Here is a 19,529-nt window from a genome sequence, read left to right as displayed (position 1 = left end):
GTCTTATTTCAAGTGGCCTTAAGCACAGCTGAAAATTAGGGGTAGCAAGAGGGAGAAAATGGATATTTGGGTAAGAGATTAATAGTCTTTAATAGAGAGACAAAAGCTGATTTTTAAAAACAAAGCCAAAAGATAAGATCATTTAATTAACAAAAGATAAATATAAGTGGATAGCAAATAGGATGGTGAATGTGTAATGTACTATTAACCAAAAGCGTAAAACAAAGCAGAGAAATGGCACTTTCTCCTATCATATTAACTCTTGAAAAGAAAAAAATGCTGAATAATTTATAGAAAAGTGTCAGAGTTAATAATAACTATCTTGAAGCAGTGGGACTACAAATTTATTTTTGTCATAAGATCATATTTTATATTTAGAGTAGTGACAATAATATTTTCTTTAAATGTTAGCCAGTTGTTTTGCTTTTTGTTTGTTTGTTTGTTTGTTTTAATCGATGTCTCTTTGTTTAGCTGTTGCTGCAGACAACTTCAGTCCTTGTCTCAGTGGCCTAAGCTGACAGTGTGGTGAATGGAATGAGACTTTGGTGATCACCTTTTCTTCCTTCCTCTTTCTATAATCTCAGCAATAATAGGCAGAATCTATTTAGCTGTTCTCAATAGGTCCCCAATTTCCTTATCTTATCCTTTTCTTTAACGCTTGGGTGGCAGCCATCATTCTCTTAGGAATGGAATTTTACCTTTTTTAAACCTACATGTCTATCCATAAGCTAATTCTTTACACTATGTGTACTTGTTTGTCCAGACTTATGTCTTTCTGATATTCTTCTCTAATATAATTGTATGGGTGGATCTTTATAAGTGTTGTGGAGCAAAGCAGTAGACAATGGTAAGGGATAGTCATGCTTATGAGAAACAACCAATTCTGTGGGCAGGATTGTGAATGCAAATGTTGGTTGAATCCACATCCAATATTGGATGACAATTTCAATTTTTATCTTGAACTCTTCTTTCTCTTCTGGGATACAGATTCATGCATGCAACATTTTCATTTGATGGAAATTAAGTATCTCAAAATGTATCAAATTCAGAATACAATGCTTAATTCCCCTCACTCTGCATATACTTGCTAATTCCTAGGTTTCCCCATCTGGACCCCCACCCTACAGCTAATGAAATCACAAGCCACACAATCACTCAGGTAAAAATCCTAAATCATCATCGTATATACATATACATTTTCTGCCTTTGCTAGCTCCATCCTATCCTCAGTAAGTTCTATTTGACCCACTTTCAAATTATATCCCAAATCCAATCTCTTCACATATGTCCTGTGGTACCTTTGGTCCAAGCCACTATCATTTCTTGTTCAGTTACCACACTAGCAGTCTGTGTTAGTCAGCTTAGGCTGACTGCTTAAACAATCAATACTTGAACTTCCAGCTTAACACAGTAAAGGATTATTTCTAACAGGGAGGCTCTGCTCCATACAGTCATTCAGGGACCGGGTTCCTTCAAGCAGTGACACCACCATCACCTAAGTCCTCGAAGTGCAGCACAATCACATGAGGAGTTGTAAGGTTCAGATCCTAAAGTGGCCTCCCTCATTTCCACCCACATTCCACTGGCCAGAAGTCAATCACATGACCCGACCTCATTGCAAGGCAGACTCAACAACATAGCCTTTCTGTCTGGCCAGGAGGAAAATAAAACATGTTTTAGTGAACACCGAGAATTGTTTTTGTTAGACATATATCCTGCTTCGACAACAGAATGTCTTTTGGAAAAATTAAAAATCACAGCCTAACACTGCCCTGTTTAAAGCCTTTTAATGGTTGCCCTCTGGGATTACACAAAATGCAAACTTCTTATCCTGATTACAAAATCCTACATGATCTCTGACCCTGACACTTCCTTTTATTTATAATTTTCTCCCCTCTCTAAGCACGCTCATGGCCTGGGGCTTTGGTAAAAACCAGTCTCTCTGCTAGAACTCTCTTCTTTCCTATCTTTAGATATTTAACTCCTTCTTATCATTCTGATTTCCTAATTGCCAACTCCTCAGAGAGGCTGTCCATAATCAACTGATTGAAAGTACTCTCCTTACATACCCAATGGCTCACTCTCTAATTACTATATTTTGCTTATAGCATTTATCATGATGAAATTATCTTACATATGGTTTTATTTTTATTTATTATTTTCTGAAGGCCTTCACTTTGTTAAGAGCAGGGATCTGGTATGTTTTGTTTTCCATCAAATTCATCATTAGAACAGTGACTGATATATCACAGGCTTAAAATATCAATTCAATTTGTTGAATGATTGAATACCTATTTTAGTTGAATGTGAGTTTGGGTTCAATTGCTCTAAAAGGAACCCAAAATAATGGTACTTATAATCAAAACTTATTTCTCTCTCAAGTAAATAATTTGGGTATAAGAAGCCCAAATTTAAGCAGTCCAGGGCTGTTATACTGTCTTCACAGAGCCAAACTCCCAGATCTCTTCAACCTCGTTGCTTGGCTATCACTACGGGTTCGGTCTAATCTAACTAGTTCACTATGGCTCGCACCTCATCCGTATTCCAGCCAGCAGGGTGGGAGAAAATAGGACCCAACCTTCTTTATCCAGGACTCAGAAGTTGAACACATCATTTTCTCTTACATCTCATTGCCCAGAACTTAGTCATGTGATTACACCTAGCAGTAAGAGTACATGAAAATTTCAAAGTTAATCTATGTAACCATTTTAACATTGTACCAGGATAAAAACTGGAGTTCTGTTATTGTAGAAGAAGGAAAGATATACTGGGAGAAAACTAACAGTCTCTTCCATAGTATTTGAAGTGATTTTTTTTTCCACTTAGAATTTTATAAGGGAAAAAATTCCATTGAAAAGAATTGAATCCACAGTAATGAATGACCGCTACAGCATTTGGAACAGTTAAATATGCCTATAGCTAGCCAACTACAAATATTGTGCAAATATTCTAACATTACTCATCCTTTTCTTTTAATTACTCAGAATACCTTAACGAAAATGGCATAGAGCAATCTCAGACTTATTTCTTATTCAACTTTTTTGGTACTTTGTTGTCCTGGTTCTTGTCTTGTAGTCCAGGATCCCACACCATTGTATTTCCCCAGGTTGATCTGGATTTTTTTTCTAGTTTAGAGTTAATAGAATAATTGCAAAGAACTCAATTTCAGGTTGGATCTTTAAAATGCAAAAGCATTCTATCTTTACTACATTAACTATGCCAATAGCATTTCCATTGATTTAGCTATTCTTGTTCTTAGAAATACAGTAATATGCACAAAATGAAAATTCAAAAAGGGTGGTTTTCTGGTGCAGACATGAAATTTTTTAGGTCCAAATGTCTGTGAATGCCCTCTGCAGCTGCTATTGGAGGGTTAAAAAAAATCCTAGGATTTTGTGTGGAAAAGATAACATCTGTGTTGAGTCTAAGATAGAAAACACGTACTTAGAAGCTGTTTCCTCTGCTGATTTTTCCCCTCTCCTCTTGGCAAATCATCTTCCTAGACCCATCCATCCCCCCGCCACCTCTAAGCTCTACTGCTTCAGCAACTGAAGTTTGACGTTATGCCTGGAGATGAAATTCTGCTCAACTGCAGTTTTAATTTTTCTATTTCTTGTACACTTTTCATGGTTACAACTATATTATTCATCATCTTGCTACTTGGAATTTTTTTTTCTGTGAGGGTCTTTAGCACTATCAGAATAGAAATAAATTGCAGGTATGTCTATCTTCAAGAAAGTATGATGAAATCCCCAGAAATATTTCAAACTTCCAATAACTCCACATAGGAGACATATATACTGTACATTCATTTGGCAATTGTAAGATTTCAGACCTTTTTTCTCCAGCGAATGTCTCAATTTATTTGAGTTTGAGGAAATTTATAAAAGTATATGCATAGTAGAATCAAGTGTTTTCTTCAAGATGGTTGATGAACTAAAAGGGTTATGGGATACCTAAAGAAGGAATAGTAAAGAAAACATTTCAAGACCAGTGTGAGGTGGTTTATAGTGTCCTTGTGTTTTTGAGCATCTACCTACTTAGTAATACACGATTTGTATATGTGAGAGCCATTGTCCATTTCGCTGATTATGCATTTTCATCAATCTGACTTTTGTTATTTAGACTGTGTAGAGTGACTGATGATGCTTTCAATTCTAAATCAGTTTAAAACATGACCTTGAGCAATTTACTTACCTTCTTTGTGGCATGGGAATTTCAAAATGAATGACTAATTCTTTTACTCTGATTCTTTTAAAACATAGTAGTCGTTTTGCCCAAAATAGCATTATTGAAAAAAATATATAAATTAAATTTTGAAAAATATAATTATGTTTTAGATACAAAAATGTAATCATATTTTGCTTTGCTCAAAAGTAGTATTATTGGAAAAAAGATACAAATTAAATTTTGAAAAATATAATCATGTTTTACATACAAAGTTGTCCACTATATGTTACTTTATATTATAATTGTAGTTTAGAGAATGAATCTCTATAGACAAATAAGCAACTTGATTTTAATTCAATGAAGATCTTTATTAAACCAGGGAATTTCTTTAAAAGATTAACTGAGGAGTACCACCCCAGGAAGATGTAAATACAAAGTTGTTTTATTTTTCTCTAATTATTGTCTCCAACTCAAGCTTTAACATTTTGGACAGATTCTATAACTTTAGGTGAAAAACTTTTTAGTTATTACAATTCAGCCTGTTTCACAATAAATCTTCAATTTTGTGGCCCATTAGCCATTATCAACTAGCCTTGTAGGAGGAAGCATGGTATATTCCTCCGGTTCTAACACCTTAGAGTATATGTGTGTGTGTTTGTGTGTGTGTGTGTATGTGTGTGTCTGAACTGGGGGTTCAGAAAGTTTGATTCAAGGGGGTAAGAAAGTTTGGTTCAAGGCTGCCTACTTCTGCCCCCCTTTTCTAGGTCTAGCTCTTTCATAATTGGGAATGGAGATAAGGGGGCAGATTTTCCTAATCGACTGATTATTTGTAGGTGGTGGGGAGAGAGCCTTTTCTTGCTTTGGCTCAAAATGGTCCATCCTGCTGCTGGAAGCCTCAATAGTTGTGGTAGTCTTCGCCTGGATGATGGGGGTGGTTTGCTGAGGATTCCCTCAAAGAGGGTCAGCAGTACCAATGCTTGGATTCTGGGGTGGGCTATGACCTCATTTGGCCAGTTTCCACCTAGGCAATTTGTGTCCTGCCTCCTCCATTAACATTTCTGCTCCTTCAGTGAAACTAGCGGGACTGCTAAGGTCCTTTCCCATTTACTGAGAGAGCCACAGGAACCGAGAGGAGAATATCAGCATCCTCTTATCTTGAGCCACACTGCACAGTCCCTTCTCACTCCACTGATGTCAGGTCCTCCAGCAGCCTTCAGCACTTTGTGGGATTGGCAGAGCAGAAGCAGTCACCGGTCTTTGCTCACACTCACAGCTTCAGGGCATGAACACACATCACACTCTCTCAAGAAACCTCTCACCATGCACTGGATGATAACACTGAAACAGGATTCAGATTCTGCAGCTCGGAAATCTTTCAGCAGTGTGTATAAAGGATTCTTACAGTATCACCACCCAGTCCATCCTCACTCCCCCGAAATTCCTCACTTTCTCTTTTGCACTGAGACAGTCAATGGTATCTTGCAGCCTTTGTTACTGATTTTGTGAAGTTAGGGGTGTTCTCAGGTACTTTGTGCTTCGTTGTGCCAGTACGGGGCAATGCTGAGGCAATGCAAAAAGTCCTAGTCTATGGTTCTAATAAAGATGGTAATTATAAATGTCAAGCACTGTAATTTATTATCAAATGTATTACAAATAAAATAGCATTACAAAGAAATTAACTTCCAGGTGTGCCTTTTAGTTTTCACTCTTTTTCAGCTTCAGTTTTCTAACATGCAAAAAAAAAAAAAAATCTGTCTTCTATTTTCTATGAGTCTTTTCTACCAGCTGAGAGCCTTTTGGAACTTTCCACCATTTTCTTCAGAGCTGATGTAACCACCTTTAATCTGCGAAAGATGCTTAGGACTTTCAACGCCAACCAATAATTTTCCTCTCTACCCAGGAATTGTCAGCATCTTGAAGCGATCTCCATAAAGAATTTTCTTATAATTTGTCATAAACTTGAATTCTGACTATGCCTCAATAATGGTTAATATTACAATATAAACCTAATACATAAATCAACATACCTAGCAATGTAAAGAAATGCTGGCAAAATAAATGTCATTTTCTTAAATAAATAAGTGCTTTAAGATTTAACATCAGCTTTTACAATCCATATTGACATGCATTTTGGAGAGCCTGAGGCAACCCTTTTTATGGCTTTACTTTTTAAAGCAGAGAAGTAGTAAAAAGCCTGTGACAATTAATTAGGTTTCTTTTCCATGGAATTACCACTGTAGACCTTTCAATATGGATGTTTAATCACTACCTCAGGCAGACATATTTTATTGGCCCAAATTTGAAATGAATTCTCATAAAGATTCAGGAAGTAGCTTTGGAGAAATTTGAAAAAGTTGATGAAAGAGGAGAGAAGAAAGAACATTATGATAAATAGTATATCACTTTCATGCTCCCTTTTGACTGATTTACACAGTACTCACTCTTTTATTTCTTCTTTCTTTATTGATTTACTTGACTGTATTAATCAGGGTTCTCCAGAAGAAAAGAAACAACAGGAGATGGTACAAATATAGATAGATAGATAGATAGATAGATAGATAGATAGATAGATAGATAATAGATAGATAATAGATAGATAGACAGACAGAGAGACAGACAGACAGACAGATAGATAGATAGATAGGTTCTATTATATAAAAATCTTTTTATATATTTTAATTATAATAATATTATATTAATACTAATTAGAGAGAGAAAGATTAACTATAAAGAACTCACATGATCCTGGAGACTGAGAGCTCCCATAATATGTCTTCTGGAAGATGAATACCTAGGAGAGACAATGGTGTAAGTTCAAGTCCAAGTATAGGAGAAAATTGATGTCCCAGCTCAAAAACATTCAGTCAGAGAGAGCAAATTCTCCCTTCCTTTGCCTTTTGTTCTACTCTCACCTCCACTGGGTTGGATAAGGCCCATCCACATTGAGAACAATTGGCTTTACCCAGTGTACTAATTCAAATGCGAATCTCATCCAGAATCACCCTCACAGACATGCCCAGAATAACATTTAACCAAACTCCTGCACATCCTGCAGCCTAGTCAAGTTGACACATGAAGTTAATTGTCACAATGACAGTAAGAAAACACTTAAATGGCTGCTAAAACAAACACAAAACATACTGGTAAAGAAAACAAAAAGATTCTATCATCCATACAGATATTTTGTGTATATAATACCAAACATAAGTGTATTTGAATGTATTTTGTAAATTAACTGCATTTTCCCACTGTTATTCATATTTGTGGTATGGCATAGCCAGATCATTGGACAATAACAAACATGAGAGAAAAAAAATCACTATTATGTTAACACTTGTACATCACATATATTCAGAAACAGAGTCCAGCAGTCTGGATACAGAGTGTGCTAATATCTACCTCAGAGATAACCTGCATCAGAATTGCCTAGATGCTTTTTAAAAGAGCAAGTTTCTGAACTCCAACTCAATCACAGAAAAATGTTTAGAGAAGGGGCATTAGAATCTACATTTTAACAACCTCTGCAGAATCAGCCTCCTCCAGCATTCTTCAGTTTCGGCATCTCTGCTCATAGACTTTTTCTTTGAAATAACTGGAGCCTTGAAATGAGAAGTGGTTAGAAAATAATTTGGGCTCTCTTTGTTTCTGTGCACTGGGGTCACTGCTTACAGTGGTAGTCCTTTTCAAAGGGGTTTCAACTTCTACTTTTATCTACACCAATCTAACCCAGAATATATAATATTTTCCCCATTATGAATCAATGACTTTATCTTATTAAGCACTAGTTTGCCCTGAAAGTGCAAAACCTTTACTCAAAATTCAATCATTTTCTTTCTCTGATTTTTTACCAGAGTGAAAAAATAAATTATGACATAAAAGAGAAACACATTGCTTCAGTTTCTGGAAATGAGGATTGGGATTGCAAGTCACCCAAATCAAAAGAAGCTAAATAGTGTGAGATACTTGTCCTCATTAGAGGAAATAAATATGACTTTTTCTTGGTGTGCAAAGTGATATTTCGCAAACCTCATTTTATAGTGCTCCCCACTGGGACACTGTCATTATAAACAGAATATTATTTAATCCTCATAAAAACCCTATGAGATTAGTACTACTATTGAATTCCCATTTTACAGATGAGGAAAACTGAAGCATAGAAAGCTAAGTGCCTGGCACAAAGTGACACAACCAATATGGGGTAGGGCCAGGACTGGACCCAGGATCCAAACAGAATGACAGAAACTCAAGTTTTTAACAAATACAAACTGTAAAATTGGGGATAAATTAGCTTGTAGCAGTGCTGGTCACTCAGAACTAGAGATGACTGTCTAAGATGACTTTTAAGAGAGATTCTCACTCTCATCTTGAGCAATCACATGGGGAAGCAAGGCGAAAGATAGAAAAGCTAGACTAAAAAGAACATTTTAAAGATTATTCGGAGGAAGAGGAGGGAGAAACAGGAGTTGCTCAGCATTTCCACTGAAATTCAAGTCACCAAAATTTCCCACTTTGCACTCTGTGCTGCTCTTGGAACAAAGCCTTGCAGATAATATTTTTTTAATGTATAGTTCAATGAATTATATTATTTGACAAGATGAAGGGTTTATTTTACCTCAAATTATCTCCCTACTATTGTTACAGTTCATCAATTATTGATCCCAATAATAATGTCACTAATTCTTATTCATTTGAATTATTAAATGTCTGAAAAAGAAAACATTCAAAGAAGGTATGAAGGAAGGTAATAGTGAGACTGAGGAAATGGAAATACAGTTGGTAACAATGAAAAATGGACATGTAGAGAGGAGAGCATTAAAAAGTAAGTGTAACTATTTTGGCATTTAGTGTTGGGGGACGCAATGGTCAAGGATACCAAAAGTCTTGTAATGCATTGGCAAGGCCAGTTTTACAGAATTCTCCTACTCAAAATGTCATAACCTGTCCAACTGAGAACTTCTGGCCCAGAATTACAGGACAAGGCATTGTAGGTTTTTCTAATTTCAGAAACTTACCCTCCACTGGGATGGGGTTTGGTGGGGGATGGGATGGGGGTGGGAATTTCTTCCTTTTCTAGATCAAGAAGGTGTCTATTGTCTAGTTGCATGAAGGATATGTTTTATCCTTTGGTTTTCCAGATCTGCTGCCTTTTGTCCCTTGAGCAAAACCCTGCTACCATCATCACAGATGCTGGAGGGGAGTGGGTAATAACCCTAATCAAATGGTCAATTCTCTATTCTCTTCTTTATCAGCCCCAGAGCAACATTTGACACAATTGATCATGCCCTCCACTTGAAACACTTGTGTCACTTGACTCCTTGTTGCCACATTCTTCCAATTATTTTTCTACCTCCCTGGATGCTGCTTCTCAGTCTATTTCATTGAATCCTCCTCCACTATCCACCTTCTAAATATTGAATTGCTCCAAGGTTTAGTCCAAGGGTCTCTTTGACATTTCTCAGCATTTATTCCCTAGATCTCATCCAGTCTCCTGGCTATCTATACATGAATGATTCCCAGAATTCATCTCTAGCTCAGTCTTCTCCCTTGGACTCTGGACACACATGTTTAAATGCCTACTTGACATCAGAATGTAGATGTCTACTCTACCGGTCATCTCAAATTTAACATGTGCAAAATAAAATTATTGGTTCCTGCCATCCTCAGAGCCCTTTCCATGACTATTCCTCATTAAGTCTTTACCAATTCAGTCAATGTCATCACTGACCATGGGGTTGCCAAGGCTCAAAACCTGGACATCATCCTTTACTCCTTTCCTCCAACTTCATTGTACTGTGTTACACAAGGTCCTATATGGAAAAAGAATCCACAGTAGGTGACTCAAAAGAAGACTTGTGATGTAAAGAAATAGTAATAAAGGAGTTGGAAGAAGCAGCATAGAGATTAGAAACAAACAGGAAATTGCTAAAACTTTAGTGCTTGAGGGAGAAAGTGAGAGAGTGTCACCAGAGCCCAAGAGCTGCCCTTGGGTGGGGAGTGGTAGGTTTACATAGTGGCTTACATACAGAAGACAGGTGGCTTATCTAGAGGAGATGCAGCCATTTGTAGGATGCACTGCCTGAAAAAGAAGGGAAAAGAAATACTCTGGATATTTTTTATCCCCTTGCTCTCCAGTCTCCTGTTAGTGCTTCCCTTTGACCAAAGCTAGCTGAAGACCAGAGTGCAAGGAACCTTTGGGAATATATTTTCCAGGGGAAAAACTGGGAATGGATCCAAGAACAGTAAGCAAGTGACCACCACAAGCACTAATCATTCTTTGGCTTTATTTTTACATACAGCTACTTGCTGTTGTTGTTGATGATGTTGAATATTTGTCTCCTCTATTAGGTCATGAGCTTCACTAAGAAGATGTGCTTTGCCAATTTTGTTCTCTCCTGTATGTCTGGTGCCTAAAACAGTGACCAACATACTGCACTGTGAATAAATATTTATACGTGAGGAGAAGGGGTAGATTTTAACTAAAAATGTTTATAACATATTCTTCTATCCAAAGTCTCAGCGAGGGTGTTATTGCTTTTCAAAACCCCTTAACATCTTCAAATCATATGGCTATCTCTTACCAAGAGAAGAGACTACACGTCTCTTGGAACAATGGATATTTAGGGAGTGGATACTAAGATTCAGGAGGGAGGGCTATAATGATGCCATACCAGAGATTTAAAAAATATGTAGACTCACAAGGAGTCAGTAGCTTACAAGGGCTATCTTGATTTAAAGAACCAAAGCTAAAAGAATGTATTTTTCTAACACATTCTCTTTATTATTTGTATGGAAATGTGTAGCTTAGACTGGAAAATTGTTTCTAAAGGGTTTTATTAAGGTGATTCCATTATTAGGGGAAGACAGGAAAAAAATAAACACACAATGAGAAATAAGGCTCTAATTTTATGAACAGAAATATGCAAAGTAATATGCCCTCCCTCTGTGCTGTGGTTGTTCAAGTTATAGGGGGCTAACAGACACAGGTTTGAACTAATGGATTCTCCATCTTGTGGAGGTGTTTTGAGTAGCTCCATATGGCAATGGACGTCTTGACTAGGTGAGGCAAGAGGTAAACAGTGTCTCTTCTGCTGATCCATCATATCATAAAGTGAATAAATGATAAAAACAAAACACCAAAATATTAACTAAGGAAGATGACATTGTATCAATGTCTACAATGGAGAAAGTCCTAGAGGAGACAGAAGTGTTTTACACATCCAGTGAAGAGCAACGGCAATAGTGCCAAGATCTTAAGTATCTCCTACTAAACTCACTGCTTTTGGTCAGATTTTGTAAATATTAATCAGTTATTAATGACCTCCTAAAAGCAGCTAAAAACAAACACGTTTATATAAATTTAATAGCAAGTTATTACGAAGTTTTCCCAAAAACATTGGAGAGATAAACTTTAGACTGAACCTGACATTTCTCATGCCAAACCATAGCTGGGGCTATGATGTATAATATTATAATGTCATTAATTAGAAGAGAAGGACAGAAGGGAGTGAGGAAGAAAGGAAAAAAGGAAGAATGGACTTGGCCAAGAAAATCTAAAAGAAGTCAAAAGATAGAAAAAAAAAGTCCAGGCATGGTGGCTCATACCTGCAATCCCAACACTTTGGAGGCCAAGGCAGAAGGATCACTTGAAGCCAGAAGTTTGAGGCCAGCCTAGGCAATATAGTGATACCCTGTCTCTACAAAAAATAAAAATAAAAACAATTATCCAGCGTGTGGTAGTTCTAGTTACTCAAGAGGCCAAGATAGAAGGACCGCTTGAGCCCAGGAGGTCAAGGTTACAGTGTGCATCTTAACACTGTAAAATATTAAAATATTTAAATTTTTATTGAATATTAATAAGGTTTTGAGCATATAACTTTTGTCTCTAATTTAAATATATTAAGAAAATATGCATTGCATGCTTACTGGTTTATGATAATATCATGTGAGCAAAACCTTTCAATTTCCCCATTTTAGGTTAGCATTTTGTACTTACATACTAATCTACATCATATCATATGAAGAAAAGATTTAACTTAACATTTCTCAGAGATTGGAGAACTGGCATGACTTTGCAGAATCTATAGTCTCTAGGTGTTTGATGTGTATTCTCTCTGGTATTTAAACTACCTCAAATTACAATAATAATTTTTATCTCAGGATTACAGTTCCCTTCTAGATTTATTTTGACCCTCCTGACTAAAGTAGCATTAAGCCTGTATATTAGTGTGAACAAATCATTCAAAACATAATTTGTGGTTTTAATTTTAGTAAATATATATTATTGCCCAATGTATACCTGGCAACCTGCTAAGTAGTTAGATATTTCATTTATGCAGTATTCCTGAGAGAGAGACTTTTTAAATGAGCAAAGCGTTGTGTCTTTTCTATTTGCATCATTATTATTATTTCATTATTCCATATTGTAATCTTTTCAAACGGATCATTAGTCACCTACAGTTTTACATTTACTCTCAAGGAAGAATTTTATTAAAATGAATATTTCATAATAGTTAGTAGGAAAGATATGGGTCCTAGGCAGCTGAATTTATAGTCATGGCATAATTAGATACAACCAAAAGATTTGGTGAGTTACATTTATCATTTCTGCTAAAAACCATGACATTCCTTAAGAAAACATTGGTAGAAACCATGACGAGGTCTCGATAAGATGCGTTACTGAGAGGTGGTGACTTCCAGCCCAGAATAGATTGACAAAGAGTGGCATGAGGGAAACTGACTTAGCTCACAGACTCCTTTGGGCATTATGTTCAAAAGGACCCCCACAATGGGGTAATATCATATTTATATCAGCTGATCCATTCACTAGAGTCCATTCATTGCAGAAGCCATGTGGAGCAGAATCAGCTCTCTGTCCTGGAGGCATTAGTCAATGCATGTGATGCTTGAGGTGGAATCACGACTTTGAATTCTAGGCAGGAAAAAGGAGACAAAATCCCAATTCATGGGCAAGAGCTGGAGGGTGAGGGGCAGACTGAGAATTGATTGATGGCCATTAGAAAGTTCAGTGCTCACCCCAATAATAATAGTAACTGGACATTTGGAGCACCACGTTATAAGACCATGTTATAGATCCTAGTTTTCTTTTAGCTGAGTCCCTCTTTAGACTCATCATGGAGGTTCTGGTCTGCCTTTTGGGGCTATGGTTCCAATGACAACTCAGTTTTCACAGCCTTTGCAGTGCTTTTTGGGTCTGCTTTGTGTGTGGGCTACTCAGGGGCCAATCCATAGCTTGGGCAGTATTCTATACTGTAACTCTTCTCAAATCTTTTACAGTGTTAATTCTAATCAATTTCATGTAAGGGTTGCTAAGCGTTTGCCCATATAAAGGTTTAAAGAAAACCTTTCTCCAGCTTCCTCCTCTCCAAAATCCTCCCCTTCTAACTAATTGATAGAGGGAGAAACATAGCTTGAGGTGGAAGTAGGGGAGTCCAGGTTTCCCCTACAGTCTGCTGACACCATCCTGGCTACAGGGGATTCTGAAAGCTGTGTGCTACCTTGCCACAGGTGGAATTGGAAGTCCAGGCTCCCTGCTCAACCTTTGCCAGCAGCACAGGGGAACAGAGGTAGGCATGGTTTTTTTCATGATGTTTTGCTGGAATGGGGCGACTATTGTCAAAAATATTGGTATCCTGCTGGACCAGCTATTTTCTGGTCCTTTGGTGATAGAGAGCAGACTTTTAACAGGACTTTTTGGCTGTGCCTTTTGGCATTTCCAAGTCATGGGCTTCTCCAGCCCCAAGCCTAGGGTGTATGGAAGGCAAAAAGAAAACAGAGGGCATTCATCCCATGCTATTAAAACCCCTAGCTCCTTAGTCAGTCTATCTATTCTCTTCATTCCTCCTTTCACAGTTTTCTTCTTCTTGTCTCTTGTATTATGGCCAGGGTTTTATAATTATATTTAGTGGGAGACAGAGAATGAAATGAGTCTTTTCAATCTTGCACAAAATCAGAAGTCTCACCTTATTTATTATAATCATTAACAAAGCCCATTCTACACAGTGGTTGTGCTTCTGGGACCCTGGACTAATGTAAAATAATACCAAGACCATTTGGCTGCAGAATCTCAGGAAATTTTACTGGTCTCATGAGGAGGCAAACAGTCTTCTACTGAGAAAAGTTTTCTCTGTTCCGAGTACAGTCATTTCCAAAACCCCTTCCCACCAATTCCACTTGGACACTAGAGACTTGTAGCTCCATCCAAGATTTGAAAACCTGTTCGTTTCAGATGGTGTTCTATGTGGAAAGAACAAAATGCAGGCATTATGCTGATGTATACCGTTTAAAATGGTCCTACTTTGGAAAACAAAGATGGGAGGAAGCATGTCAGAGTTGACATTTCCTGTCTCTTTCCTAAACTGACTTATGATTAAGTTTCTGCATGAGTAATAATTATAGATCAATAAATACTAATACAGTAAATTCAAAATAACTCTATAAGTGGGCTCCCCAAAAGTGAAGGTCTCACTACTGTAAAGTTAGTGAAATGGTGAGAGTGAGCCTTCTGTGGGAAACTGCCAATCCCCTTATATCCAAACTGTGCAAAATACAGAAATGTCACCGCAGAGATTTCACCATAATTACCACTTATCTAACACTGATATTATGTCAAGATATACACTAAAGATTTTATCCTGGGTAGAAGATTTTGCTATTCACTTTCTATAAATGAAGAAATTGGGTTTTGGGCAAGCAAGAAATCTGCCCACATCATGTAGTCTGAAAATGGAGGTGCAAAAAGAGAAAATGAGAAGATCTAGGTTCCAAACACTTGGCTTTAATCAGTACTCTATCCTGCCCCACCCCTCAAAAGAACCAGAGTATATGGCTCGTGGCCTAACACCAGGCTCCATCTCTTGAATGCGAGTAAAGTTTGCAATATGTCTCATGCTGAGTGAGACTGATCCGACAAGTGGAAGTGATTCCAGCTTGGAGGGCAAGGAAAAGACTGAGGCTTGGTGGACTCTCTCTCTAGCAGCAGGAAAACATTCTTGATAGTCTTCACTGTGTGCAATGACAGCTGTGAACTGGCCTAACTGAAACTTCACCACAGCTTGCTTTTTATTTTTTGGTTTAACTAATATTCATTAAACTCTTCGTGTGTGTAGGCACTCTTGGAATGGCTGGGACTCCACAGCTCTCATAGAGATCCAACCTGAATTGAGTAAGTCTTGGCCACAAGACAGGGTACATTTGTGAGATCCTGGACTTCTGTGAAGTATTTCAACTTTATTTGGAATCTTCATTTCTTATTCTTGGCTTCTTTTTACACTGTGAAGCCAGGCACAGATTGACAGATAGAAGGAAAATTGATGGGCCCCCAGGGGCCCCACAGACAACAAGCAACAAGCAATAGAGTCCAGCAAGCTGCTAGCTCAGTAGGGGAAACAGTTGTACTGGCAAGCTGTCTGATCATGGCCTCAGGAGGTGCTGATGGCAAGCCATAGGCCGACTGGTAGCAACAAGAAAAAGGGTAGAAAGGAGCTGAGGTTGAGAGATGCAGTTACAGAAATTACTGTGTTTGGAAATAATTAGACAAGAGTTCAGTGACATGATCGAGGGCATTCTCCCAGTATTTCCCAAGCCTCTACTCTGTGTGATGTGTTGATGTATTATGCACATTGGGGATACAGTAATAACTACATTTCCTCACCAATCAAGCTAATATAAATTTTCCTTCCTTTGGGCTCCACTAGTGCTCTTGTTCCAAGTAGTCATATGGAATTTATAATTTATCATAGTAGGCTACATGTAACAATTACTTGCACATTTTTCTTACTCTTCAGAGCTATAGTTTATTGAAAGCACAGACAGCTTTCATTTCTCTTTGCTACTCTCAATATAGAACCCAGAATAATATTTAGTTCATAGTAACAATATAATAAATGTTTGCTGAATTAAACCATAGACCCAACTTAGTCTAAGCCACCATCATCATCTCTCTACTAAGCCACTGCAAACCAGCTCCTGACTGGTCAGTCCCTGGACTTCAATTAGTGGCCCGTTTCAATTCATATTCTTTACTGCAGCCAGAGTGGTATATAAAAGGTAAAATCTACCACGTTTTTGCCTATATCCTTCAATGACTTTGACTTACAATAAAATTAAAACAATTTCATATGATCTACAAAGCCCAGTATTTTTCAAACAACTCATCATCTCCAGCCACGTTCTATGACTGTTTCCACGTTGCTGTCAAAAGTCTATCCATTCATTTATGTGTGTGTGTGTGTGTGTGTGTGTGTGTGTGTGTGTGTGTGATGGCTGTATTTTCTTCCTAGTTCTTCTTCTAATTCTCTATTTTACCACCTTTGCACATCATTTCTTGTGCATGAAATTCTTCTTCCCCATGTTTTCACCACTTCATGTCTTAACTCAAATGGCATTTCCATTGGCCTCATCTAATGTAAATTGTTTTCCTTGTTTTCTCACCATTGAACTCTAAGCCTTTTCTTCATAGCATTTAGAGCTTTTGTAATTTATACTTACTAAAGGTTTATGTATTTGATATCTCTCTAGCACATTAAACTTTGATTGCTAAATGTTTTCAAAGAATATTTCTTGAGTGAATGTATGAATGATATTCATTATCTGTTATTAAAAGACTAATCATATTTTCATACTGTACCATTCACTACAACCCAGAAATAATCCTCTCTACCTTCTGCAAAGTTTGTACACAATTGTAATGGTTTGCTCCTGTTCTATTTTGCACATAAGAGATAGCTTTACTGCTATAATCCTCTTTCCAGGAGATTCTAAGTCAGAGGTGGGCAAACTTTTTCTGTGAAGAGCCAGATACTAAATATTTTCCACTTTGCTACGTGTATGGTCTGTGTCACAACTACTCAACTCTGCTATTGTAGGGGGAAAGCAGCCATAGGCAATATGTAAATGAATGAGTGTGACTGTGTTCCAACAAAATTTATTTCCAAAACAGGCCGCAGACTGGTTTAGGCCCACAGGCTCTAGTTTGCCAACCTCTGCTCTAAATGCCTAGAAACACAGCTTTAGATAACACATCTGTAATGCCTGGGTTATCCTAACTGGCACTGACCCTTCATCACTTTTATCCCTGTCTTCTATTCTCATGATGGCAACCAAGGTGATCTTATCTAATGGCCTCCCATCTTATTCTATGCAAAATCCAAGGTCTTTGCTGTGATTTGCAAGGCTCCATCTGCCCCTCACCATTATCTCTCTGAGCTCATCTCCTATCAATCCTCCCTTCTTTCAGTCCACTCCAGCCACCCGGGCTTTGGGCCACTCCTTGAACATTTCAGGCAGTCTCCTGCTTCAGTGCCTTTGCCCTTGAGGTTTTCTCTATCAGGAATATGCTTCTCCTGAAGACATTACAGCCAGCTTCCTCCCTTCTTTCAGGCCATCTTCTAAAAGTGATCTTCATGGTGAGACCTTTCTTGGCTGCCCTATCAAAAATCCACCACTCACACCCCAGATGCTTCTAACCCCTCTGTTCTGCTTCAGTTTCAAAATTCATCAATATACAACATATTAAATAATGTGCTTATTTATGTTATTTATTGTTTGTCTTTTTCACTAGAATGTAAGTCCCATGAGGGAAGGGACTTGCTCTGCCTTGATTATTGCTGTATTCTTAATGCCTAGAACTGTGCCTGACACATAGTATACATTCAATAAATATATATTGAATGAAATAATGAATTAATGGGCCAGGCATGGTTGCTTATACCAGTAATCCCAGCACCTTCGGAGGCCAAGGCAGCCAGATCGCTTGGGCCCAGGAGTTTGAGACTAGCCTAGGCAACATGGTAAAATTCCATCTCTACAAAAAATACAAAAAAGTCTGGCATGGTTGTGCATGCCTAGAGTCCCAGCTACTTGGGAGGCTGAGGTGAGAGAATCACTTGAGCCAGGGAGGTTGAGGCTACAGTGAACTGAGATTGTGCCACTGCACTCCAGCCTGGGTGACAGAGGGAGATCCTGTCTCAAAAAACAAAAAGAAAAAATGAAAGAATGAATGAATTAATTAATTAATTAATGATCATCTCCCCCTATAGACACCTCTGTACCTGAACGAAGATACTATCACAAGTAGTTTTTTCTTTTCTTTCTCTTTTAATATTCAAGAAACTAGTCAAGCTGAAAAAAAGTTTGTACATATTGTACTCATCTTTGTGCTCAAATTAAGAATACTTCAGAGTTGCATTTTGGCCACTTCTTTCCTTCTAAACTATCTCTCTCCATTGACAGGATAGATTTGAAGGAAAGGAAATTAAGTTACAAAACCAAGACAACTTGTACCTTTTTCCCTCAATTAAATGCACACACGAAAATTTGATATTGAGAAGTTTTGCTTAAATTATCTGTGCTAACCAGACCTTCACTCTCGGGTCATCATAATGCCAAAAGCGCTCTTTTTAGAGAGCTCCAAGACAATTTATTTTATAACTTTAAATGGAAACTATTATACGAATGTATGTTTACACTTTGTAACAAAGAAAAACATCAAAATTTTTAATATTCAAAAGTGTACATGGGTTATTTATGGACATACAAAATTGGCTCAAGGTAAGATGTATTTTACAATGACCCCTCCATAGAAAAAGAAAGATTAGAACGTGAATTCATTTATATGTAATTAAAAGGAGGCCACAGTAAGAAAAATTACTTGAAATTTTTAAAATTGGTTGCTTTGTTTGAAATGGAAGTGAAAACTATTGCTAATTAATCTTCTAGTTGAACTTTTCACTAAATGTCTCCCATTTCATTATCAATTTAAATCCTCTTCATCTTTCTGGGTTCTAGAATCATTTCCTTCACGCAAACTTTCCCATTTATGCATTTCCCTGAGCTTTTATAGTTTTACCCCTGAATTTTATGCAGTACCTTGAACATAGTGGGTAGGGACAACAGATACCAAATTTCCTATTTTAAAGTGCCTTCAAAGTATCTTGAATTCTTATTTAAGTATTTCTTGAATATATGCCTTCACCCAGTGAGACTGTAAGCTCCTCAAAATAGAATGTATCTGAATCTCCCTCTCTGTAATTCCTCAAAACCCAGAGCATGTGAATGTTGAATAAATACCTGTTTAACTTGATTTTTTAAAAAGAAATATTGATGTGTATGAAACATTTAAGAATTAAAATAATGTAATTTTATAGTATTTAAAATGGAGTACATCCATAAAGTCTAGTATTGTGAGAGGGACATGAAGATGTTGATTCACCCAGAATCAGACAGGTTATTATGTGGTTGCTGTTGTTGTTGATGATGGTGATAACTCTTCAGTTCCCCAGTGTTTTTACTATACTAAGTGGGAAATATGAGTGAGGCTAGAAATATAACATAACTCTTGT

The 19,529-nt window shown here is 37.3% G+C and overlaps 1 protein-coding gene across 9 annotated transcripts in view; it reads left to right on the top strand.

Moving 5' to 3' along the window:
- The window catches only part of PTCHD4 (patched domain containing 4), a 254,525-nt gene that overhangs the window by 189,706 nt on the left and 45,290 nt on the right, over positions 1 to 19,529 (top strand). The window lies entirely within an intron of this gene.

This window comes from Homo sapiens, chromosome 6 (genome assembly GCF_000001405.40).
Source record: "Homo sapiens chromosome 6, GRCh38.p14 Primary Assembly".
Classification (NCBI taxonomy): domain Eukaryota; kingdom Metazoa; phylum Chordata; class Mammalia; order Primates; family Hominidae; genus Homo; species Homo sapiens.
This window is presented reverse-complemented; position numbering and strand designations above follow the sequence as displayed.